Here is a 27,147-nt window from a genome sequence, read left to right as displayed (position 1 = left end):
CACTCCCTTCTCACAGCTCATTCAACAATCCTAATGGCAGCGGGTGCCCGCAGTCTCAAGTCTCTGCCGAAGCCCAAGCCGCTGTCTCGGTCAGTCACAACCGACGAAGAGGAGGAATTGGAGGAAGCCAGCATAACCACTTCACACTGAGAACATCTGACCTTTCCCAGAACGCCCGCCCACTCGACACTTCCTGTCCCTCCCCAGATCTTGTTCCGGGGCACCTACTCGCGTCTAATCACTCCCCTCATTCACTCTTTAGGGTCCATTGGCTGTTTCTTTGAGGAAGCGGAGCATCTTCTGTCGTTGATTGGTTTCCGTCATTGTTGATAGGTTGGTAACAAACAAGGTGTGCCTGGTCTCCCTGGTAACGTCCTGCCGATAGTCCTGATTGGTCGGTGTCTTAATCCCATCTTCCGTCCCAACTGCTAGTGGCTGAGTCCCTGGCGGGGCGCGGCGGTGGAAGGTGTCGCGTACGGGCTTCCCGAGCTGACGTGGCTTGAATTGGGAGGGGGGCAGCTGGAGCCTCAGGCGGCAGCGCTTCTAGGTGAGTAGGGGACGCTACCCAACTCTTCCCTCTGCGAGTCCAATAACGGTCACCCCCGCCAGAGGGGCCGCGGGAGCTGCCCAAGCAGCTACACCGGAGTCCCCTCCTCGCCCCGCCTCTCCCGGATTCAGTCCTGGATCCGGCCCTTCACCCGCCTCCTTCACCTACCAGGCCTAGTTCTAGTAGCCCACAAGCCTCGGCCTCTCCGGTGGGCCTTCGGGGTCACCCTGCGCAGACTTGGACCACTTGCTCACGGTCTGTCCCCTCCCCGGTACGTTTCTCCTCTGGGAGCGACGGGGAAAAGCGCCTAGGTCAGTCCTGTCCGCACGGCCTTGTTCCTGGAGCGGCCTGCCTAAGTCGGCCTCCGTACGCAGCCGCTGACGTCGGAAAGAACCTGCTGGGCCCCTGTGCTCAGGCCCTAAACAAACTTGGTGTCCCGAAGGGGAGGCGCGACCAAAAGAAATCAAAGGTCTTTAGGGCGGAGATCACAGAATCATTGGAGATATTAATGCAAACGGAGGCCTGTCCAATAATCCTGCTAATGCTAATGGGTTACTGGAAAGATGAGAAGAGAGGAAAGATCCCAACGATCCCGTCAACACGAAAATCCCAGGAATCAGAGGTGGGCAGGCTGTTAGAGAAAAAGGAACCTCTAAGAGAGTTCTCGAGGAAAAATAACTTGGTTTGATGGTGTGGAGTATGTTTAATCTGCACAACCGGAATGTGAAAGGGAGGGTGAGTCCTTTGAGGAATGAGGAATATATTTGTCTGACTTATTTAAAGAGCTCCAGTTGGTCTATGGGGAGCGGACAGTTTGAGAGTGGGACAGGGATATTTACAATCATGGGTAAGTACTTTCACTTTTGGAGATAGTTGGAAGCTGTCTGAGCATTTAAAGGACCTTTTTACAGTTCTGTGCAAGATGCAAGCAAGTGGAGGGCTCTTTACATAAGGGCCAGAGGCCTTTCCAAAAGCGTGAATTGATAAGATTTAGATGGTCAGAATGGTTATGAAGGGGCAAACTCAGGAAATATCCTATTGGAAAAATGGCAGGATTTGGTTTTGGAATAGATGCAGGAAAAAGTTGAAGAGTACTCAAAAGTTGCAGGCATTGTACATTAACTGCTTCATAGCTTTTACTTCTCATCCCTTGACCACAGAATGACCATTTAATGTTTTTCTTTTCACTGCATCAATATTTTTTACTACCTCAGCAGCTTCCAAACCTTTTAATTGCACTCCCTATCAGTAAAACATTTTTGAGCATGCATCTCCCCAAATGTTGTGTGTTTAATTATTTATAGTGTATGACTACCACTGTAAATATGTTGTGTATAATATGAAATATGCAAAAGTATAAACGTAAAAGAATGAAGTTTTTAAAAAGCCTTGTCCACACCTTGGGACCTCCCAACCCAATTTGACAATCACGTAAAGATACTTCCTTGTTTTTCAAGAAGGTCGTTGGCATTTCTGGCATCCAGACTCTGGGATGCAGCCTTTCTTAAACATGATCTTTAGAAGATTTTTTTCAACCTTCTGCTTGAGTTTTATAGGCCCCCTTTCTTTTTCTCCCTTTGATTAATGGATTAATTAAAGGGATGTTGACTTTATCCTTGTTTATAAAATAAATCATTCATTAATTTCTCTAGGTTAATTACTATTAGGAATACCACTGATCATTACATACCAGTCTGTGGTTAGAAACCATTATGTAAAAGGAGACTAAGCTCTATATTGCTGTATTTTTAATTAAGCTATTTTAAAATCAGCTATATGCTTTTGATAAAAGGAAATTTAATACAGAAGGATACAATGTAAAAAAAGTCTTTTTCTTTTCTATCTACTGATCTACCCATCTCCATTCCCCACTTCCCAGAAGTAAGCACTGTAAATAATTTCTTGGTTATATTTAAGAAACTTTCTGATCATAATAAAGCACATGATAATATATACCCCCTTCTGTCTTTCCCACAAGTGGAATCCTAATACACATGCTTTTGCCATTTAGTACTGTATATTAGGCACTTTCAATATCCATGGGTATAAAACTACCTCATCCTTTCCATGGCTACACAGCAGTCCTTTGTAAAAATATAAAAATAGTATTTAGCCTGTCCCCATTGATGGACATTTAGATTTTCAGTCATTAGCCATCAAAACACTGCTGTAGTGTTTTGTTATATAACATCCATGTGTATATATGTATATATATACATATATATACGTATATATGTATATATATACGTATATAGACATATACGTATATATACGTATATACACATATATATACATATATACGTATATACACATATATACATATATACATATATACACATATATATACATATATACATATATACATATATATATACACACATGGATTTTTGTTTTGTTATGTAACATCCATACATAACATGTTTTGTTATGTAACATCCATATATATATATATATATATATATATATATATATATATATATAACATCCATGTATATATATCTTAGGGCCCTTGTGTGAACCTGTCTGTGGTATAAACAATATGGAATTATTTGGGGCCATACTAATATGAATCATTTTAGTTTACTTACTGCTTTAAAAAAAAGTACTTACCTAACTATTAACATAGTGCCTTTATCCCTTCATTCTGTTTTCAACCCGAGTAAAGAATATTGGATAATGAGATTATTCAGAAAATAAAATATTTTCTGTGTATCTTCACCCACCAAGAAGCTTTGTCGAACTATGTGACTGGGGAAATTACTTAACATCCCTCTGCCTTAGTTTACTCACCTTAAAACTGGGAATATTGACGGTACTCCCTCTTGCGGTTGTTTTAAGAATAAAGTGAGTTAGGCCGGGCGCAGTGGCTCATGCCTGTAATCCCAGCACTTTGGGAGGCCAAGGCGAGTGGATCACTTGGAGTCAGGAGTTTGAGACCAGCCTGGCCAACATGGTGAAACCCCTGTCTCTACTAAAAATACCAAAAATTAGCCAGTCGTGGCAGCGGGTACCAGTAATCCCAGCTACTGGGGAGGCTCAGGCAGGAGAATCGCTTGAACCCAGGAGGCAGAGATTGTAGTGAGATCGCGCCACTGCACTCCATCCTGGGCGACAATAGTGAAACTCCGTCTCAAAATAAATAACATTAAATAAATAAATAAATAAATAAATAAATAAAGTGAGTTAAATAACGAAAAGTAAGTTATGTGTAAAGATATTGGAGCAGTGTTTGGCAGGTCACGCTGTGTATGTATGTTATAGCTACCACTTACAAATTCATTTAATTAAAATAGTGGCTTCTGCATCATGAAAAATAGTTGTTCATTTTCTAATTGTAAAATTATGTCATAATATCGAATGTGTTATTTCCAGCTATACAGCACTACCCATTAGCCCCTCAACTTGGTTGAAAATCACTTTGAGATTTAAGGAATTAAGGACAGCTACTGAGGCTTAACTAAATAAGCATGAAATAAGTTTGAGGAGTCACCTCAACTGAAACCTAACCACCTTCTCTGTGTTTCTGTGGGAAAATGTGATTTAAATTCCAAAGTAGATGGCATATATGCATATATACACAGGCATGCACTCACTGTCTTCAGTTATTTTGCTTATTTTCCTGTGCATATTGTTCTGTTTTCGGTGGCTAGGGACATGCTTTATAATTCTTTTTATATTTTTATAGTTCCTAGCATAATGCTGAACACCAGGTGGTTGTTATAAGAATAATCATTGATAACAGTGAAGACTTGGAGAAAATAAAACTTACTTAATTCTGAGTGCCACTTCAACACATAAGTGTTAAGGTCCTGTGGCAGGGTTTGTGAAAGCTGTGACCAGCATAGACTGAGGAATTGTTTTATTTGCCTTAGTGTTTTATGGAATCCCTGGCCTTGGCATGAAGCTCTGTGTTTTATTCTTTTCCTTAGTTGCTATTCATTATTTTGGTGCCTTATAAAATAACAGCAAGAACATTGTCCAACAGTCATACATATTCCTTACATGAATTTATGACTATGAATATGACTATTCCCCTTTATTAATCTTTACATATATGTATACATATACATACACGTATACATATGTATATATATACATACACGTATACATATGTATATATACATACACGTGTACATATGTATATATACATACACGTGTACATATGTATATATACATACACGTGTACATATGTATATATACATACACGTGTACATATGTATATATACATACACGTGTACATATGTATATATACATACACGTGTACATATGTATATATACATACACGTGTACATATGTATATATACATACACGTGTACATATGTATATATACATACACGTATACATATGTATATATACATATACATACATAGATTTATGACTATGACTATGAATATTTTCCCCTTTATTAATTTTTATCTATACATTTGCCCATTTCTGTCCTCAGTGAGCCTAATAGAGGGGAGTACCCATCTTTCTTCATTTAGCTTAAGCATGGCTACTTACTGGCTTTCTTGCCCTGTAGTTCCCAACCTTTGAGCTACCAAAAGCCTACAACTGTGGGTGAGATGCCCTTCCATTTACATTTCCAGATTATTCCTTTAATGTCAACAGCTGTAGAGTAGGGGGCATTAGAATGGTCCTTGTTAGTCTTCATTTTAAGATGAGGAAACTGACGCTTTAAGGTGACTTACTCACTATGATGCAGCTTCTTATTGAGCCAGGACGGAAAACTCAGTTCCTTGGCTTCCAGTTTGGTGCTCTTCCCACTATGTCACCTGCTTTCCTGTGGATCTCTGAGACTGTTGAATCAATCTATGAGAGACTCCTTTTGTCCTGCCTGAACAGTACATCTCTAGCACTCTCTCAGATTTTTATCTCATTTAAATATTAGTCTTTCCTTTCTTAAAATGTACATATTTTTAAATGGTTATGTGAGAAAAGTAATCTATTTTTCCTTTAAATAGCTTTTTGTTTTATTCTATCAATCTTTTTAATTTTTTTTTTTTTTTTTTTGAGACAAGGTCTTGTTCTGTTGCCCAGGCTGGAGTGCAGTGGTGTGATCATAGCTGACTGCACTCTCAAACTCCTGGGCTCAAGTGATCCTCCTGCCTCAGCCTCCCGAATATCTGGGACTGCAGGCATATGCCAGTATGCCCAGCTAATTAAATTTTTTTTTTTTTTTTTTTTTTTGTAGAGACAGTCTCACTATGTTGCTCAGGCTGGTCTTGAACTCTTGAGCTCAAGCCATCCTCTCACCTCAGCCTTCTAAGGTGCTGGGATTACAGGCGTGAGCCACCCTGCCTGACTGCTATTGTATTATATATTTAACTGAGGGACCTTGAAATGTCTTAATTTCTGAGTGTCAGTTTCCCTCTATAAAATGGGGATGATGATAATACTTATCTTACAGATTTTGTTAAGATTAAAGAGTATATAAAGTGGTACAGTCACTTTGCATTTAAATTAAATGTTTCTCAATTGTTGCCATTAATATTATCATTATTATCCTGTGTTCATGTGTATGTGTTCCTCATTTGCTATGATATTCAATGATATTCAGTAGGATGCTGATGGGCACGCTCCTTTCTAGGGAGGGTCAATCAGAAACTCATGTGGTAGTGGTATGGGTTTCCATAATGGATTTCATAATAATTAATGATATTTGAATTACTAGAATAAATCCACTTGGTGATAATATTTTTCAGTATCTAGTCAGATTTAGTTTGCTAATATTTTATTTAATATTCTAATTAAAATTTATTAGAATGTTGTCATCAGTATTCATAGGGAGATGGTTTGTAATTTTTCATTTTCTTTTTCTATGTTTTGGAGCAATATAAACAGCAACTTCTGTAGCACTTAGATTATCTCATTTTTGACAATTTGGTAAAGTTTTCTAATAGCAACTATTTCTGGTGTTTTAGCATTGGTGACTTATTTTATAATTTTTCCATGGAAATATGTGTATTTATAATTTGTATTCCTAGAGGTATTAATTTTGATTAACTGTATTTTTTTTATTATACTTTAAGTTCTAGGGTACATGTGCACAACGTGCAGGTTTGTTACATAGGTATATATGTGCCATGTTGGTTTCCTGCACCCATCAACTCGTCATTTACATTAGGTATTTCTCCTAATGCTATCCCTTCCCCAGCCCCCAACCTCCAACAGGTCCCAGTGTGTTATGTTCCCTGCCCTGTGTCCAAGTGTTCTCATTGTTCAATTCCCACCTATGAGTGAGAACATGCGGTGTTTGATTTCTGTCCTTGTGATAGTTTGGCGAGAATGATGGTTTCCAGCTTCATCCATGTCCCTGCCAAGGACATTAACTCATCCTTTTTTATGGCTGCATAGTATTCCATGGTGTATATGTGCCACATTTTCTTAATCCAGTCTGTCATTGATGGACATTTGGATTGGTTCCAAGTCTTTGCTATTGTGAATAGTGCTGCAGTAAACATACATGTGTATATGTCTTTATAGTAGCATGATTTATAATCCTTTGGGTATATACCCAGTAATGGGATCACTGGGTCAAATGGTATTTCTAGTTCTGATCCTTGAGGAATTGCCACACTGTCTTCCACAATGGTTGAACTAATTTACACTACCACCAATAGTGTAAAAGCATTCCTATTTTTCCACAACCTCTCCAGCACCTGTTGTTTCCTGACTTTTTAATGATTGCCATTCTAACTGGTGTGAGATGGTATCTCATTGTAGTTTGGATTTGCATTTCTCTGATGACCAGTGATGGTGAGCATTTTTCCATGTGTCTGTTGGCTTCATAAATGTCTTCTTTTGAGAAGTGTCTGTTCATATCCTTTGCCCACTTTTTGATGGTGTTATTTTTTTTCTTGTAAATTTGTTTAAGTTCTTTGTAGGTTCTGGATGTTAGCCCTTTGTCAGATGGGTAGTTTGCAAAAATTTTATCCCATTCTGTAGGTTGCCTGTTCACTCTGATGGTAGTTTCTTTTGCTGTGCAGAAGCTCTTTAGTTTAATTAGATCCCATTTGTCTATTTTGGCTTTTTTTGCCATTGCTTTTGGTGTTTTAGTCATGAAGTCTTTGCCCATGCCTATGTCCTGAATGGTATTGCCTAGGTTTTCTTCTAGGGTTTTTTATGGTTTTAGGTCTAACATTTAAGTCTTTAATCCATCTTGAATTAATTTTTGTATAAGGTGCAAGGAAGGGATCCAGTTTCACCTTTCTACGTATGGCTAGCCAGTTTTCCCAGCACCATTTATTAAATAGGGAATCCTTTCCCCATTTCTTGTTTTTGTCAGGTTTGTCAAAGATTAGATGGTTGTAGATGTGTGGTGTTATTTCTGAGGGCTCTGTTCTGTTCCATTGGTCTATGTATGTGTTTTGGTACCAGTACCATGCTGTTTTGCTTACTGTCGCCTTGTAGTATAGTTTGAAGTCAGGTAGCGTGATGCCTCCAGCTTTGTTCTTTTTGCTTAAGATTGTCTTGGCTATGCAGGCTCTTTTTTGGTTCCATATGAACTTTAAAGTAGTTTTTTCCAATTTTGTGAAGAAAGTCATTGGTAGCTTGATGGGGATGGCATTGAATCTATAAATTACCTTGGACAGTATGGCCCAGTGTGCTGTAATTCTTATTCATACATATTCAAATTATCCTTTTAGCCAATGGGAACCTGTGTCCTTTGAAAGCTTCCTATCTTGTATGACAAGATGTTTCAGGATCATTTTGTACATTTCCACTTTAGAAATGGAATTAGCCATTTCTCTAAGAAAACCTTCTTTTAAAAACTTTTTTAAAAATGGGAAAGAGTATTTCAAGACCCCAATCTAGGCACTAGAGATATTCATTGCTTCTCAGTTTGTCATTACTTTTAAGCCTTTTTGGTGGACAGAGCTAGGAAAATATGTGAACAAATATAAAATACTGAATTGTCATTTCACACTGAGTGTTCCTATTCAGATTCAAAGATTAGTTTGTATTTCGGGGTTCTTAATTTCTTCTGTATTACATCTGTATCTTCTTTTCATAACTGAAAATACAGAATTAGTGTATCCATAATTATCATTTGCTTTAATTCTACATTTCACATATAGTAATCTAGGAGTGATGATACGAATATCACCACCACAACCACTTTAGACGAGATCGGGTGTGTTCAGGATGGTATGGCCGTAGACAACAACCACTTTTAATTATTGAAAACTGTTTAAAAATATTTTTTATTTTTTGCATATGCTATTCACATTCTTCCCGATTTTTTTTCATGGTTGTCCTATATATTGTCAGAGCATATAATCATTACATACTATGCTGTCTCTCCTCCAGTCTTTACTTAGTCTTAATTCTGTTAGTAACCGTATATTTAATGCTCACCACTAGTTCTTATAATGATGTTTCTTTAGTCATTTGGATTGCCTCAAGTTTTGCCTCTAGTAAATTCTTTAGGAAAGGCTTAAGGGAATATTCATATTTCATGAATTTTCTTGCTCGTTCATAACATTTTGTCTGTGTTTTTTATATCTAAAGTTTGTGTTTGCCAGAAATAGAATCCTTGGCTCACTTTTTCTTTTCTTGAATATCTTAAATTTGTAACTCATTTTTTTTTTCTGGCAAAAACATTGCTGTTGAAAAATCTAGTGCTTTTTTTTCTTTATCTTACTGGTCATATGATCTTTTAGCCTAAAGCCTAAAGGATTTTTTTAAGTCCAGTAATTTTACTAGAGTGTTTTGTTGGTCATTCTGAGTTGACATTCTGAGGTACATTGTGGGCTCTTTCAAGATGTAGTTTCAAATCTTTTTAAAAAAAATTTTCAAATAAATATTCTTGGATTATGGTTTTTCATATTTGTGCTGTTTCTTTGCTTTGCTTTTCTTCTTCAGGGAATCCTGTTATTCACATTACTTATCTTCAATATTTATCTGTTTCTCGCAAATCCTATGTAACTCTTAATTTCTTACATTTTTTAAAAATAAACAAATTATTAGGAATTATTTCAGATCACTACAGAAAGTTTACTACAGAAAATTTGCAAAGATAGTGCAGAAGTCTGGTGTATCCTTTGCTTAGTATTCCCTAAGATTAACATGTGACATTAGCAGTGTACAAAATTAAGAAACCAACATTGGTACATTAATATTAACTGAACTCCAGACGTTGTTCACATTTCACCAGTTTCTCCATTAATGTCCATTTTCTGTTCCAGGATTCAATTCAGGATATCATGTTGCATTTAGTTCATTTCTTTTTCATTTGTTTTTTAAATATGAAGACAATTGTAGAGTCACATGCAGTTGTAGGAAATAATCAGAGCTCTTTTATACACTTTGTTGTTTCTTCCAGTGGTAACATTTTGCAAAACTAATACATAATATCACAATTAGGATATTGAGATAGATATATTCCCCAGTTTTACTTGTATATTCATTTGTATATGTATGTATGTGTATCATTAAGTTTTGCAGTGTTATATCACCTGTGTAGGTTCCTGTATCCACTGCCACAGTCAAGATATTGAACAGCTGCAACACCACAAGGATCCCTTGTGTTGCCTTGTTATGACCACAGTCACTTCCCACCCCAACCCCTCTCTAACCACTGGTAATCACTCATCTTTCCTCCATTTCTAAAATTTTGTCATTTCAAAAATGTTATAGAAGTATGGAATTGTATAATATGTAACCTTTTGGGACTGGCTTTTTTTCATTCAATGTAATTTTCTGGAGATCCATCTAAGTTGTTGGGTCCATCAGTAGTTCGTTGCTTTTTATTTCTGAGAAGTATGTGATGGGATGTATGTACCAGTTTGTTTAACCATTTGCCTGTATATATCAGTTTGCTTAACCGTCTATTAATAGAAATAAAGCTGCTATGAATGTTTATATACAGCAGGTTCTCTTGTGAACTTAAGTTTTCTTTTCTCTAAGATAAATGCTGGGGAGTGGAATTGAGGGTCATAAGGTAGTTGCATATCTAGTTTTTTAGGTCATTTCTTTTTGATTTTTAAAATTATCCTTCATTTCAACTTTGCTTTTTTTTAATGACATGGTTTGTTATATTTACTCATTTTCTTGTTCCTTCTAGTTTCATCTTCATTTCCAAAATGATTTTTTAAATTTTTCAGTCACTTCTTGTTTTCACTTTATTTCTGGGTTTTTCTATTTCTGATGTTTATTTTTTCACATCTTATGTCATTTTTAATGCCTTTTAGTTCCTTCAGTAGATTTAAGTGGTTATAGTTTTGAACTGTTTTTTTGAGCATGGCTCTCTGACGTGCTTCCATTTTCTGTCGGGATGTTATCATGATCGTTTTCCTCCTTTTTTTTCTTCTAGTAATGTATCTGAATTGTGAGACTTTTCAGTTGCTCTTTTTTTCTTTTTTGTGACAGGGTCTTACTCTATCACCCAGGCTGGAGTGTAGGGGTGTGATTATGGCTCACTGCAGCCTCCACCTCTTGGGCTCAAGCAGTCTTCCCACGTCAGCCACCTGAATAGCTGGACCTACATGCATGTGCCACCATGCCTGGCTGACTTTTTAAAAAAATTTTGTAGAGATGGGATCTTGCTATGTTGCTCAGGCTAGTCTTGAACTCCTAGGCTCAAGTGATCCTCCCACCTCAGCCTCCCAAAGTGCTAGGATTACAGGATGAGCTAGCACGCCTGGCCTCAGTAGTTCATTTTTAATATGAATTTAGTGTTGCTGAACTTTTAGAAAGAGATTTTATACAGCTTTTCTAACTTGATAAGGTTTCCTCTTGTGCTATTTTCAGACATTGTTCAACTATATGGCAGCTGGATTTCTCGGATTTCCTGCCTTTCTTTCCTTGCCACTTTCACCTGCTCTTTATCTGGACCTCCTCTTTCCTTAGTCACTTAATTTTAATTCTCCTCTCAGCAGATTCTCCTCAGTGTGGGACCCTATCCTGGAAGAGAGCCCCAACTCTTCAGTTCTGAGAATTAATAAAGGTCCAGACTGCCTCAGCTCTTTCAGCCCTCGTAGGCCCCTGGCAGGTACCTGTTATTGGAATGGGAAGACCCCTCCTTGTATCAACTACTGTTCTGTAATTGGCTTGGCGCATTTGCCAGTGAATGCCCACTGGCTCTTTTGAGGTCCTCTTGGTGTTGTACTCCTCTGGCTTCCCTCAATTTCCTCCCAGTTGAACACCAGTGACACCCAGATCTTTTGACTATTGGCGGTTTGTCTATATCCACGTTTATTTTGGGGTTTGTAGGAAACTTTGTTAAGTAGTTTTTTGGTAAAGGCTGTCCATGGATCTTTTGTTACCTAGTTGCTTTGTCTGTTTTTATGTGGGAATAAAGGAAGATACAAAATCCATGGGGCCCCTTGCTACTCCCATCTTCTCAGAATCCCATCAGTTGGTTATTTTGTTTTCTTTGTTCCAAAGTGGTCTGAAAAATCTGAAGATAAAGTGATTCTGTTTGATAAGTTAGGTTCCATTATGATTTTCTTTGATTAGCAGAAATCTATATGTTTAAGAAACTCTTTAGTGATGGTATTCATTTCCTTCATTAAAAGTTAACCAAAGAAAATATGATCTCTAAAGTTGAAAAGAAAGTTTAGAATCTGTATACTGCTGAATTGTGATTTTTTAATCCTGACTATAGCTGTGGTTCTCATATCTTGAATAAATAGTTATATATGGCCCTATGTACTCATGTATGACACTGTGTTGCCCTTCCAGTATTTAGATATGAAGTTATATATGATCCTGCGCTGCCTTCCTAGGGAACAGTTCACTTTTTCTATTTCTGTCTCACGTATCTTTTCCAAGTGATGTGCTACTTAGATTACCCAAGACAATCTATTAAAAAAACAGGTATCTCTCATCACTTCTTTCTTAAGAACCATGGCTGCCCTAAACACTATTATTATCCCCAGTAGAAGAAAACTGTAGCAGAGCCTAGTTTCATTTAAGTGTTTATTTTGTACAATAGTTTTTATATTTCTTCTTGCTGAGGTTTTTTTTTTTTTTTGAGACGCGGTCTTGCTCTGTTGCCCAGGCTGGAGTGCAGTGGTGCGAATCTTGGCTCACTGCAACCTCCACCTCTCAGGTTCAAGTGATTCGTCTGCCTCAGCCTCCTGAGTAGCTGGGATTACAGGCACGTGCCACCACACCCGGCTAATTTTTGTATTTTTAGTAGAGACGGGATTTCACCATGTTGGTCAGACTGGTCTCAAACTCCTGACCTCGTGATCCACCCGCCTCAGCCTCCCAAAGTGCTGGGATTACAGGCATGAGCCACCACGCCCGGCCCCTGCTGAGGGTTTTAAAAGCCAAATAACATTTTATCACAAAATGTAAAATTAGGCATAATCACGTAAACTAATGCTATGCATAGTCCAGTTCTATTTTGATTTTTCCTATCAAAGCATTAATATGCTTCTCATTTTCATGGACTTTATGGACTAGCAGTTGACACTGATCTGAATATGTAGCCTACACAGTGGTTATAAAAGTAAATTGATTTTGGAATAACCTTAGATTTACATACAACTTGGGAAGATTAGACAGACAGTTATTGTATACACAAAGCATCCTCTAATGTTAGCATTTTACACAACCATGGTAGCTTTTTCAAAACAGAGAACATAGGTGCAATGCCATAAACTAAACTATAGGTAGACTTCATTCAGATTTCACCATTTTTTCCAGTAATGTCCTTATTGTGTTTCAGAACCTAATCCAGGATACTGCCTTGCGTTTATTTATTTATTTATTTAGAGGCAGGGTCTCACTCTGGCACCCAGGCTGGAGTGCAGTGGTGCGATCTCAGCTCACTGCAACCTCTGTCTCCCAGGTTCAAGTGATTCTCCCATCTCAGACTACCCAATAGCTGGGACTACAGGTGCATGCCACCACACCCGGCTAATTTTTGTATTTTTTAGTAGAGACGGAGTTTCACCATGTTGGCCAGGCTGGTCTCGAACTACTGACCTCAAGTGATCTGCCTGCCTCGGCCTCCCAAAGTGCCAGGATTACAGGCGTGAGACACTGTGCCCGGCCTACTTTGCATTTAATCAGCATGTCTCCTTGTCTTCTCTAATCTGTGACTGTTTCTTAGTTTTTTGTTGTTTTTCATTACTTTGACAGTTTTGAAGAGTATTGGTCAGGTATTTTTAGAATGTCCCTGAATCTAGGTTTTCCCAGTGTTTTCTCATGATTAGACTGGGCTTACGGGTTTTGCAGAAGAATACCCCAGAGGTAAAGTACCCTTCTCATCACATTATATCAGGGGTTACATGATATTACGATGACTTATCACTGGTGATGTTAATCTTGATCACTTGGTTGAGGTGGTGGTTGCCAAGTCTCACCACTCTGATGTTGCTGTTTTTCTTTTTTCATATTCTATTCTTTGGAAGTGAGTCACTAGGTCCAGCCTATACTGAAGGAGAGGGAATTAAGCTCCATTTTTAGAGGGGGACGTATCTACATAAATTATTTGGAATTCTTTTGTAAGGAAGATTTGTCTCTACCATTAATTTATTTAATGATTTATTTATATCAGTATTGACTGATGGGTATTTAATTTTTTATTTGGGTTATAATCCATATAATCCAATATTATTGTTATTTATTCTGTGACTCAAATTATTCTAGCCTTGATCATTGGGAGCTCCTTCAGATTGGCTCCTGGTCACATACCCCATTTTTTTTCTTTTTCTTTTTTGAACACTTCCTTACTTTCTGGCTCTCTGCCCCAACCCTAGATAGGCAGCCATTTCTCCAAGGAGCCCTAGTTCCTTTTATTGGAGATTGGCAATTTAGAAATCGAGATCTGGATGCGCTCATTGCTACTGAGGTGTTACTGTTTCTAGGACTTTTCAGTGGACACGGCTAGAATATATATTTCTCTGTAATAACTGATTATTTATAATGCATACATATCTATACTTATTTCTGCATTTATCTATTTACATATATATTAAAATAAACATGAGTTCATACTGATATCTCTGACTCTAATCCAGTACCATGGGGTTTATCCTAGCTTTCTTGCCTTATTTGTAACTTCTTTCACTGACAGTAAAAAACCTGAATCTCATTATCTACAATTTACTTACTCATTTAACCCTAGTGTACAATGAAGTAGTTTCAGAATTGCTAACCCATACCACTGTGAGAAAGAAATTTACCAAGCAGAGTACAGTGTTTATGTCAGTTCTTTTTGTCTTTATCCTTATAGTACCCAGTCAAAACACCATTTTTGTTTCTTAGGTTAGCCCCATCTCCTTCAGTGAGGTTATATCATATATTTATAATATAGTTAGATCTATTTGTCACAGTCTGCATTCCATTTTTGGAACTCCTGACATCCTGGCTGAGGTTTTAAAAAAATTGTATACAATTATGTTTGCTCTTTGGAATGTACAGTTCAGTGAGTTTTGACAAATGCATATGGTTATGAATTTACTACTTCAAGATCATACAGAACAGTTCCTTCACCTTAAAAATTCCCTTGTGTTGCTCTTTTATATTCAGCCACATCTCCTTCCCTCAAGCCCTGACAACTATATTTGTGTGGGTTAATTTCTGGACTTGTTCAAAATGTTATATAAATAGAATAATATGATGTATATCTTTTAATGTTTAGCTTATTCCATGTAGCAAAAGGCATTTTAGGTTTAAGTATTGTGTTGTGTGAATCAATTGTTCATTCTTTTGCTGAGTAGTATTCCATTGTTTGGATGTGCTACAGTTTGTTATTCATTCACTTGTTGAGGGATATCTTGGCTATTTTCAGAATCTGTGATTATGAGTAAACCTACTATAAACTTGGTTAGATGCCTAGGAGTGGGATTGGTAAATGTACGTTTAACTTTTAAAGAAACTGTCAAACAGTTTTCCGAAGTAGCTGTGCCATTTTGTATTCTAATCTGCAGGCATTGAAAGTTCCTGTTGCTCTATATCCCTGCCAGCATTAAAAAATACATATTTTAGCAATTCTAATAGGTAGATAGTGGTATTTCATTTTGCTTTTAATGAGTATTTTCCTAATGCCAGATTAACTTAAGCATCTTTTCATATATTTATTTACCATCCATCTATCTTCTTTGGTGAAGTATCTATTCACATCTCTTGCACATTTCTTTATCAGGTGTGTTACTTTATTGATGTTGAGTTTTAAGATATTTTTATTGTTTTAGATTCTGGATACAAGTTATTTACTGGATATGCTATTTGTAAATATTTTCTCCTAATCTATGACTTGTTTTTTTTTTTTTTTTTTTCCCGAGACAGAGTCTTGCTCTGTTGCCTAGACTGGAGTGCAGTGGCATGATCTCAGCTCACTGCAATCCATGCCTTCCAGGTTCAACCGATTCTTGTGCCTCAGCCTCCTGAGTAGCTGGGACTACAGGCATGCGCCATCATGCCCAGCTTATTTTTGTATTTTTAGTAGAGGTGGGGTTTTGCCATGTTGGCCAGGCTGGTGTTGAACTCCTGGCCTCAACTGATCTGCTTGCCTCAGCCTCCCAAAGTGCTGGGATTACAGGTGTGAGCCACCACGCCTGGCTTCAGTGACTTGTCTTTTCATTTTCTTAACCTTGTCTTCACAGAGCAAAAGTTGTATGTTTTGATAAATTTTTAATCAATATTTTTTATAATATATTGTGCTTTTTTGGTGTCTAAAAGCTCATTGCCAAATTCAGCGTCACAAAAATGTTCTCCTATGTTTATTTCTAAAACCTTTACAATTTAAGTTTAGGTCTCTGATCCATTTTGAGATATGCTTTGTATAAGGTGTGAGTTGTATGTCAAGGTTCACTCTTTTTCAGATGTCCAATTGTTCCACAACCATTTATTGAAAAGATTGTCCTTTCTCAACTTAATTGCATTTGTACCTTTGTTAAAAATCAGTTGACTCGATTTGTATGTGTCTATTTCTAGGCTCTCCATTTTGTTCCATTTATCTGTGTGTCTATGCTTTCACCAGTGCTGCCCTGTCTTGTAATTGTAGTGAGTAATTTCCACACTCCTTGCCTTTTCATATGTTTTAGAGTCAGCTTTTTGATGTTTACTAAAAGCTTGCTGGGATTAAGTTTGGAATTGCACTAATTTTATAGGTCAAAATGGGGAGAATTGATACTTTAACATTATAGAGTTCAAATACATGTATATGTTTTATTTCTACATTTATTTAGATTTTTTATGTCTTCCTCGGGTTTTCAATAGTTTTCAGCATTCAGCAAATTCTGCATATATTTTGTTAGCTGTTTACCCAAGTCCTGCTCTGTTTATTCAGTGCTGTTGTAAATGGTATTCTTATTGGTTTCAAATTCCTCTTGTTCATTGTAATGGGAATGCAGTTGACTTTTTTTTTTTTTTTTTTTTTTTGAGACGGAGCAATCTAGGCTCACTGCAAGCTCCACCTCCTGGGTTCACGCCATTCTCCTGCCTCAGCCTCCAGAGTAGCTGGGACTACAGGCACCCACAACCACACCCGGCTAATTTTTTGTATTTTTAGTAGAGTTGGAGTTTCACAGTGTTAGCCAAGATGGTGTCGATCTCCTGACCTCGTGATCCGCCCGCCCTGGCCTCCCAAAGTGCTGGGATTACAGGCGTGAGCTACCGCACCTGGCCTGCAGTTGACTTTTATATAGTGACTTTGTATCCTGCAACCTTGCTGAATTCACTTATTCTAGGAGTTGTTTTTTAAGGAAAGTCTACATGGACAATCATTTTGCTAGTTGAGACAGTTTTATTTCTTCCTTTCCAATTTGTATTTCTTTTCTTTTTCTTGCTTGTTGCATTGGCTGGGACTTCCAGTATAGTGTTAGATAGAAGTAGTAAGAGACATCTTTGCCTTGTTTCTCATATGGTGAGAACATTCAGTTTCTCACCATTAATTATGATGTTGGCTGTAAGTTTTTTAAAGATGCCCTTTATTAGGTTGAGGAAATTCACTTCTTAGTTTGCTGAGAATGAATTATTCTTATTGTGAATTCATAATCATGAATAGATATTGAAATGTGTCAAATGCTTTTTCTCAATCTATTGACATTATGTGGTTTTCCTTATTTAGTCTGTTAATATGGTGAATTACATTGATTTTCATATTTTGAATTAGCATTACATTTCTTGAACCCCACTTGGTTGTGATGTATTATCTTTTTATATATTACTGGATTTAATTAGCTAATATTTTATGGACTATTTGAATATTTTGTTGACTGTGACCATGAGGAACATTGGTCTTTAGTTTTCTTGTAATATCTTTGTCTGCTTTTAGTATTAGGGCAATGCTAGTCTGGTAAAATAAGTTAGAAGGTGTTCCTTCCTTTTCTATCTTCTGGCATAGATTATATAAAATTGGTATTATTCCTTAAATGTTTCTTGTTACCTACTAATGAAGCCACCTTGATCTGGAGTTTTCTTTTTTTAGAAGGTTTTTAATGTATGAATTCAATTTCATATTTATATGTGTGTATATATATGTGTGTGTGTGTCTGTACACACACATGCACCCACACATATCTACTCATTTATATTCAGGTTCTCTATTTCTTCTTGAGCTTTTGGTAGCTTGAATCTTTCAGTGAACTGACCCATTTTATCTACATGGATGAACTTAAAAGTATAGGGCTATTTGTAGTGTTTATTATCTTTTAATGTATGTTAGATCATTAATGATGTTTCCTCTTTCATTTATGATGCCAGTAATTTGTGTCTTCTCTGTTTTTTTCTTGGTCATCTTGACTAGAGTTTTATCAATTTTATTGATCTTTTCAGATAATCAACTTTTGGTTTTATTGATATTCTCTATTTTTCTATTTTTATTAATTTCTACTCTGATTTTTATTTTTATTTTTCTGCTTACACTGGCTGTAATTTGTTCTTCTTTTTCTAATTTTCTATAGAAGAATCATAGGTTACTGATTTCTGTCCTTCCTCCTTTTCTAATATATGCATTTAATGCTGTACATTTTGAACAAAGTTTATATTTAAATTTTAGCAAAGCCACATGGTTTATCAAGAAAGCTTTCTGAAAGAATGGGGTTCATGGGGCACATAAAAAGAAAAATGTTGCAGTATCATGGAGTTTATTTGAACAAGTGGGAGAGAATAACAGTCTGACAGAGGAAGAAAGAATAAGACATTCATGTTTGGGCATGTGCCTGTAGTCTCAGCTACTCGAAAGGCTGAGGTGGCAGGATCGCTTGAGCCCAGAAAGCAGAGGTTGCAGTGGGCTGAGATTGCGTCCCTGTACTCCAGCCTGCGTGACAGAGCAAGACCCTGTCTCAAAAAAAAAAAAAGAAAAAGAAAAAAGAAATTCATGTTTGTAAGTGAAACTACTATGAAAGAAGGGCATTAAAGATAAAAACTACCTTTAAGGTGTATTTAACAATTATAGATTGGTATTTAACATTGTATTAATGTTTAACGATTAGGTACTTACATTTTATTTTAGAAATGGTGTTAGTGATGGTGATAACCTCTGTACAATTGCCACTGAAAAGAACAGCGTGTGACTACACTGGAAGTACTCAAATGCCTTTTTGAAGACATCATTGTGCTGCAGACTGTGTCTAATACAAATCACCTGTACAGTATTCTTTTTTCATTCACGGATGATATGGTTATCAATATAGGAGAAGCCTATGTTCATTTTGCTGATTCTTAGGTTTTTTCCCCCCTTCTTTTCCTACAGAAATGCTGAGCCGATTATCAGGATTAGCAAATGTTGTTTTGCATGAATTATCAGGAGATGATGACACTGATCAGAATATGAGGGCTCCCCTAGACCCTGTGAGTAGTTCTGTTCTGATTTAAACTGGTAAGACATATGTTCTGTGTTCTTCTAAGGAAAATAATTTAAGATAGAAGGGTGTGCGAAGCCTCCCTGGTACTAGGTGAAGCGAGGATTAAGAAAAATATTGAAATTTTATAAGTGATCCTTCTCTTGTAAGTTTTTAGCTTAAAAGCCACAGTGATGGGAAACAAGTCCTGGATACAATTTGAAAGGGCTTTCTCATTTGTCTCCCTGGGCCTTGTTTGGTGCCAGAGTGTTTTAAGTCCTTTGTTCTCATCCTTGGCTATTCCTTTTCCACAGGAAAGGTCTAAGTGACAAATGAGGAAACTGGAACACCTTTTGGGTTTCAGAATATCTGTTTGCTTTGTAATTTCATTTACCACTTCTCCTATAGTTTGTATTGTATTTTCTTTTTTTTTTAAGATGATACAAATTGGCAGTATGTATTATATTTTCTGAAGTCCACATAAGGAATTAATAAAACTTCTTAGTTTTCTGAAAAGACAAGAAGTAATGCGTAGTGGTTAAGAGAGTTTTACTTAACTACTCTTAATTTTAACTTTTGGCCTTTTACCCTTACTGGTTTATGATTTTTGCTTTCCTTTATTTTTCTCTTTGGTAAAATTAGGATAATAATACCTTAAATGGGATAATGTTTGTAAAATGCTTAACATTTATAAAATACTTAATATATTGTAATGGCTATGATAATGATTATTATTGGATCAGAGTTAGATTCTTAAGTTAACAAGAATATGAATTGGGCAAAACATAAAAAGTTGGAATGAAGAAACTCCTGTTGGGAAGCTAATACCTTTTCCTGGTGCACTGGCAACTTTTTTCCTAAATATTAGGAATTACACCAAGAATCTGACATGGAATTTAATAATACTACACAAGAAGATGTTCAGGAGCGCCTGGCTTATGCAGAGCAATTGGTGGTGGAGCTAAAAGATATTATTAGACAGAAGGATGTTCAACTGCAGCAGAAAGATGAAGCTCTACAGGTACTATTGTTTTTATCCTTTCTTGTGGAGCATTTGATAAAGGACAGATGATACACTACTCACTTTAATTTTTGTCTCCACTTAGATTATTAGGGAATCTGATTATCTCCCTAGTACTGTAACCTTATGCCTACTGAAAATAACTTTTGGGTCGGTGTGGTAGCTCACACCTGTAATCCCAGCATTTTGGGAGGCTGAGATGGGAGGATTTCTTGAGGCCAGGAGTTCGAGATCAGCCTGGGCAACATAGTGAGACCCTGTCTCCACAAAAAAAAATTTAAAAAAAATTAGCTGGGCATGGTATTGGGCACCTGTAGTCCCAGCTACTCTGGAGGCTGAGATAGGATCGCTTGAGCCTGGGAGTTAGAGGCTGCAGTGAGTTGTGATTGTGCCACTGCACTCCAGCCCTGGTAACAGAGAGATACCCTGTCTCTGAAAGTAATAATAATAAAAATAACTTTTAGTATGTGCTAGATAAGAGGGGAATAAACATTTATGTATTTACCATCATTGTTTTTGGGCAGGAAGAGAGAAAAGCTGCTGATAACAAAATTAAAAAACTAAAACTTCATGCGAAGGCCAAATTAACTTCTTTGAATAAATACATAGAAGAAATGAAAGCACAAGGAGGGACTGTTCTGCCTACAGAACCTCAGTCAGAGGAGCAACTTTCCAAGGTATGGTGACTGGGTGTAGTGTATATTTCCTAAGTTGAAAAAACCTACCAATACAGCAGATCTTCACCAATCACAAACATTTAGGATGCTAAAATGATACAGCACTAAATAATGTTTTGTTTTTTTTTTTCTTATAGAGCTTGTAGTTCAGCTGGACTGTAGGCCACACACAGGGAGAATGAAAGATGTACAGAAAACATGGATATGAAATGCCAGTTGTGACCTGGACTTTCAGGGATTAAAAAAGGCTTACAGGAAGAAATAAGTACTGAAGTGAGGCATTTAGAGAGGAGGGAAACATACCTTTTGGAGGAGTTTCATCATTGATTAGAAGATTAAACTAGATTATCTCTAAGGTTTCTTCCAGCTCTGAAACTTTTTAATTCAATGACTTAACACAGAATATTCTGTGTCCTCATATATAGTCACATAGTGGTGGATTAAAGCTTCATGCATGTGGGCTGAATCAGCTGAATTACCTGGGACTCTCTAAAAGGGAGGCTCACTAGGTTTATGACTGCAGCCAACAAAGCAGTTTAAGGTTGGAGATACAGAGGAGGAATAAGGAAAGTACTGCCCTGTGAGGAATATTGTCCCAGTACTCAAATTTTCATTATCTTTCCTGTATGGTTAAACTCCACATATTCACATTCAGTCAGCTATTTAGAGAACAAGAAACTTCAGTTTTGTGGAGAGTTTGATACAGATTATATGGAGGCAGGCATATCACATGCATACTGTAGTTATAGAGTGAGCCTAGACTTCACCGTGTGTAAGAAATCTTTTTATTTTTTTAGTTTCATTTTGTTTTGCTTTGACCTGCTAGTATCCTTAGTTCTTGGGAAATGAGATTTTAATCAGTTTTCTAGGCACAACCTTTGGGATCGCTAGTTAGTGACCCAGTTCCTGCTTAGTCTTTCCTCTCAGGGCCTAATGATCAGAGAACATTACTTTCCCTGAATTGATAATCTTATTTAACTTCTTGAAGCCTATTTTAAAAGCTTTTCTCAATCTTCTCAAATAATTTCACCTTGATCCTTCTTTTCCTTTTGGTTTTTCCTCTGTCAGTTCTCTTCCCCTCACTGTGGTAGCACCAACCTCTCTCCTCATATTGCTTTGTTCCCTCCAGCTTCTCCTCAGCTATGATGTCAGATTTTTAAATTATCCATTTTATACTCTGCTTTTTAATTTCATTTTTAGCTCTGAGACCTTAAAGCAGTAATGTCTTAGAGTTCATTTTCTTTCTCTGTTAAAGAAATGATTTCTAAGTTTCAGCAATCAGTCATAGCAACCCTTTAACTATTATATACTCAATACAGAGCTAGGTATTCTGTGGAAAGTATAGTTGAAGAAATGACAACAGTCCTCAGGTGCTTGACTGACTTATGTGAAAGTATAAAAGTATTCTTTGTAATTCCAGTAAGCAGAAATAGCTTTGTTTAGGGGGTTGGGAGGGACTAAATTTACAAAGAGGCAGAATCTCAGTCTAAGGGAGAGCTTTTGGAAAAAAAAATAGATTATTGAAAAAATTGGATTTCCCCTCACTGGCTCTTTTCTGATGTGTTGCTTCTCACTTAGCAACAGCTATAGTTTCCTGAGCTCTCTCCTTGATTCTTCAAGGCAACAAGACTTCGGGTTTTCTATTAAGGTTTAGTCCTGCATGGCACTGACTGGTTTTGCCCTCAGAATAAAAGCTGTCAAAATGGGAAACTCGGTACCATTTCTTCCAATTATCACATCCCCTCCAGTATCTTCCTGCTTTTGGTTGCTCTCCAGTATTTTCAGATAGCTGTTTTCTATATTGTCCACAGTTTTGGGTTCACATGCTTGGTGTGAGGGAAAAAAAAAAAAAAAAAAAAAAAAAAAATATATATATATATATATATATATATATGTGTGTGTGTGTATGTATTTCACAGTTTATAGCTATTATGTGAGGGAGGGTAGGTCTAACAGGAACTGCTTGGCCATACAAAAACTGGACAACCCTAAGATTTCTTATTTGTTAGATCAGCTGGTTTTTCTTGCTCCCATCAGTTTAATAAAATTATAACTAAATGGTTGTAAATGAAAAATTAGAAGAAAATATCAAATATATATTAATTGTAATTCTTTTAAATAATGACTTTATCTCCTGCATTTTCAGCATGACAAGAGTTCTACAGAGGAAGAGATGGAAATAGAAAAGATAAAACATAAGCTCCAGGAGAAGGAGGAACTAATCAGCACTTTGCAAGCCCAGCTTACTCAGGCACAGGCAGAACAACCTGCACAGGTAGGGGTGGAAGTTACTTCATAATCATTAGGTTAATGAATCACTAAAACCAATGGATTATTATGTGACAAATACATTTTTCTAGATGCACAATGGGCATTTATCTATGTATATATCAGTCTCCTTCTTTTCTTCATTTCTTCTTGTCTGGTAATTTTATTAGAATATGCATTGGTGTTTGTCATTTTTAGTTGTTATTCATAGATACCCAGTATACTCTTTCAATATATGGTTTCACATATTTTAAGTTTGTTTTTTTGTTTGTTGTTTTATTTCACTTTAGGCCTTCTATTTTTTGTTTGTTTTTGTGTTTTTTCTGTTTTTTTATCTTCTATACTGCAATGATTTTTTCTTTTCTATTGGATTTTTCATGAGTTCAGTCACCTCATTTCTGATTTTTCTAAATCTGATTTATGTTTTTCTCTCATCTCTGTATAATTTTTTTTTCTTTTCTTTTCTTTTTTTTTTTTTTTTTTTTTGAGACAGGGTGTCACTCTGTTGGCCAGGCTGGAGTGGAGCAGTACAGTCTCAGCTCTCTGTAACCTCTGCTTGCCAGGTTCAAGCAATTCTCCTGCCTCAGCCTCCTGAGTAGCTGGGATTACAGGCATGCACCACCATGCCTGGCTAATTTTTTGTATTTTTAGTAGAAATGGGGTTTCACCATGTTAGCTAGGCTGGTCTGGAACTCCTGACCTCAAGTGATCCACCTGCCTGGGCCTCCCAAAGTGCTGGTATTACAGGTGTGAGCCACCATGCCTGGCCTGTATAATTTTCTTAATTTTTAAAAACTTTTTGAAATAGATTGCAATTTTGATTTTTTTTTTTTTAGTGTGGCTCTGGTATGCTTTTATCACCTATAATCATATCATTCTGCTCCTTAGTTTTGTTTTTAATTTATAATAACAGAAATTTAATTTAATTTAAATAAATTTATTTCTTACATTTATGGAGGCTGAGAAGTCTAAAGTTGAGGGACTGCATCTGGTGAGGGTCTTCTTGCTGATAGGGCTCTCAGTGGTGTCGCAAGGCAGCGCAAGTCATCACATAGTGAGGGGGCTGAGTGTGCTAATTTGCCAGCTCAGGTCTCTCTTCTTCTTATAAAGCTACCAGTTCCCCTTCTATGACAACCCATTAATCCATTAATCTGTGAATGTGTTAATCCATTGCTGAGTTCAGAGACCTCCTGAACCAGTCCTTTCTTAAAGGCCTCTTGTCACACTGGGGATTCAGTTTCAACGTGAGTTTTGGAGGGGACATTCACATCATAGCCTTCCACCCTTGGCTCTCCAAAACTCATATTCTTCTCACATACAAATACATTAATTGCATCCCCACAGCCCCAAAGTCTTAGCTCATTCCTGCACCAATTTCTGTGAGCCTGTGAAATAAAAACACATTATCTTCCTCCAAGATACAATGGTAGGACAAGCATAGGGTTCACATTCTCATTCTAAAAGGGAGAACTAGGCAAGAAGAAAGAGAGTAACAGACCCCAAGCAAGTTTGAAAACCAAGAGAGTAGACATTGGGCCTTAAAATTCCAGAATAATCTTCTTTTACTCCATTTTCAGCATCCTCTGCCGGTACAGGGGTTGGGTCCCCAAGACCTCAGGCAGTTCTGTCCCTATGGCTTTGCTGGGCTTAGTCCAGCCAGCATTCCCAGGCTGACTTTGCATTGCACACTGGTAGCTCTATAGTTCTGGTATGGCAGTGGTAGTCCCACACCGTGATTCCACTAGGCATTACTCTAGTGGGGACTCTGCAGGGCAATTCCAACCCCTCATTTCCCCTTGGCATTGCTCTAGTGGGGCTCTCTGTGGTGGTTCTGCCTCAAGACAAGCCTCTGCCTGAGCCCCCTGGCTATTGATGACATCCTTCGACATGTAAGTGGAGACTACCAAGCCTCCACAGCTCTTGCTTTCTGTGAGCCTGCAGAATTAGCACCATGTGGATGTTACCAAGTTTTACAACTCGTACCTTTTGAGCTGTGACATGAGCCATACCTGCGGCTGCTTTGCACTAACCAGAACAGCTGGGCTGCAAGGAGCAGTATCCTGAAGTGGCACAGAGCAGTGGTATCTCAGGGCCTATTCACAGAAACCATTCTGTCCTCTTAGGGCTTTGGGCCTGTGATGGGGGCTGTTGGGGCAGCCTTAAAGATTTCTAAAATGCATTCTGAAATGCCTTTAGGGCTTTTTCCCATTGTCTTAACTGTTAGAAACTGGCTCCCTTTTAGCCGTGTTAATTTCTTTAGCAAGTGGTGGCTGTGCCTTCTTGGATTCCCATCCTGAAATCTTCTCCATTCTTTACCACATGGCCAGGTTGCAAATTTTCCAATTTTTTTTTTTTTTGCTCTGTTTTCTTTTTCTCTGTTCACTGTAAGCAGATAGAAGTAACCACATAGCAGCTCAAGCAGTTTGCTGCTTAAAATTTTCTCCTGCCATATACCCTAGTTCATCACTCTCAAGCTCAGCCTTCTACAAAGTTCTTGGCCATACAAAAACTGGACAAGTTCAGCCAAGTTCATTGCTAATTTATAGCAAGGCTGGGCTTTACTCTAGTTTCTGATACTTTGTTCCTCATTTCTGTCTGAAGCCTCACCAGAATGGGCTTTACTATTTATGTTTCTATCAGCATTGTGGTCACAACCGCTTAACCAATCTCCAAGGAGTGCTAAGCTTTCTGTAGTTGTCTTATCTTCTAAGCCCTCATCAGAATCTAGGCATTTTTTTTTTGAGCTAGTTCCTCAGAATTTTTCCAGCCTCTGCCCATTACCCAGTTCCAAAACTGCTTCCACATTTTCAAATAATCATTATCAACGATGACCCCACTTGTCAATACCAATTTTCCTTTTTAGTCCGTTTTCTCTTGCGTGTAACAGAATACCTGAAACTGGGTAATTTATAAGAAGTTATGGAGGCTGAGAAGACCAAGGGTGAGAGGCTGCATCTGGTGAGGGTCCTCTTGCTAGTGGGGGCTACTCTGTTTTTTTAATAGTAACTTAAATGGGATATGACCTTCATCCTTTTCTGTTCCTTATTTTTGTGTCAAATTTATTCTCCTAAACCTCTATTTGGAAGGAGGCTTGATTCAGGAAAGCTTTTCTTAACAGACTTCCTTTTTCTATTGTTTTTGTGTTGTGTTCAAAGATATGGGAGCCGGATTTCTGAGATTTCCTGGCTTTCTTCCTTCTGCCCTTCACTTGGTTTATGCCAGCACTGTCCAATAGTAATAGGTTTATTTGTAATAATTAAAGACTGGAAACAACTCACATGCCCATCAATAGGGAAATATTTAAACTGTGGTATATCCACACACTGGAATACTACTTAGAAGTGAAAAGGAACCAACTATACAACAATAGAAGGCCTTCATTTTAAATTTTGAAATGTGTCTATATTTATTTTTGAACTTGGAAAATAATTCAATTATAATAAATGTTTATATTGCAATTTAATTATTAGTTATGATTAAATTGGTATCAACTGTTACTAATGCTGTCTGCATTAAGTATACAAATAAACATATTACAGTGTTATATAGGGGTCTAGAAAAATGTTAAACTGAATCAACCCATTGATACCAACTGCATATACACTTGTTGCTTGTGCAGCACCTCAACAGTAACTTACATGATGCAACAGATAAGATGAAATATAGTCATGCCAAAACAAAGTTGTACTTAATGGAAAAATAATCTATATTTCAGTTTTCAAATTAAAATTAAATAATGTTAAAAATTAAAAATATTTCTTTTCTATCAGACCCATTTTAAGCCCTCTATATCCACATGTGGCTAGTTGATACTGAATTATACAATACGTTTGTAGACCTCTTTCTTCTGTCTCTTTAATTCCTTTTCTGCATAATTTTTATTTCACT

At 37.1% G+C, this 27,147-nt stretch overlaps 1 protein-coding gene across 27 annotated transcripts in view, besides 3 other annotated features; it reads left to right on the top strand.

The window, feature by feature from the left end:
• The first annotated feature begins 212 nt into the window (after positions 1–212).
• The window catches only part of GOLGB1 (golgin B1), an 86,766-nt gene continuing 59,831 nt past the window's right edge, over positions 213–27,147 (top strand). For 11 of the 27 annotated variants that reach the window (XM_047447995.1, XM_006713591.3, NM_001366283.2 and 8 more), the window contains exons 1-5: positions 438–547; positions 19,206–19,303; positions 20,162–20,314; positions 20,839–20,991; positions 23,138–23,266. In XM_047447995.1, the coding sequence (XP_047303951.1) occupies positions 19,208–19,303; positions 20,162–20,314; positions 20,839–20,991; positions 23,138–23,266 (531 nt within the window). In that variant the 5' untranslated portion in view covers positions 438–547; positions 19,206–19,207. Of the gene's footprint in view, positions 334–437; positions 1,170–19,205; positions 19,332–20,161; positions 20,315–20,838; positions 20,992–23,137; positions 23,267–27,147 lie in introns of those variants that run through there. The other 16 variants (XM_047447993.1, XM_017006191.2, XM_017006190.2 and 13 more) reach the window with 4 other exon arrangements.
• Positions 471–710: an enhancer, noted in NCBI's record as "active region_20348". NCBI's record gives its function as "activates an Ori minimal core promoter by ATAC-STARR-seq in GM12878 lymphoblastoid cells {active_cell/tissue: GM12878}" and the evidence as "EXISTENCE:reporter gene assay evidence [ECO:0000049][PMID:35858748]".
• Positions 731–780: an enhancer, noted in NCBI's record as "active region_20347". NCBI's record gives its function as "activates an Ori minimal core promoter by ATAC-STARR-seq in GM12878 lymphoblastoid cells {active_cell/tissue: GM12878}" and the evidence as "EXISTENCE:reporter gene assay evidence [ECO:0000049][PMID:35858748]".
• Positions 18,019–19,218: an enhancer, noted in NCBI's record as "MED14-independent group 3 enhancer chr3:121449808-121451007 (GRCh37/hg19 assembly coordinates)". NCBI's record gives its function as "activates an origin of replication core promoter dependent on BRD2, BRD4, P300/CBP and CDK7 cofactors, and independent of MED14, by STARR-seq in HCT116 cells {active_cell/tissue: HCT116}" and the evidence as "EXISTENCE:reporter gene assay evidence [ECO:0000049][PMID:35650434]".

The sequence above is a fragment of the Homo sapiens genome, chromosome 3 (genome assembly GCF_000001405.40).
Source record: "Homo sapiens chromosome 3, GRCh38.p14 Primary Assembly".
NCBI lineage: Eukaryota > Metazoa > Chordata > Mammalia > Primates > Hominidae > Homo > Homo sapiens.
This window is presented reverse-complemented; position numbering and strand designations above follow the sequence as displayed.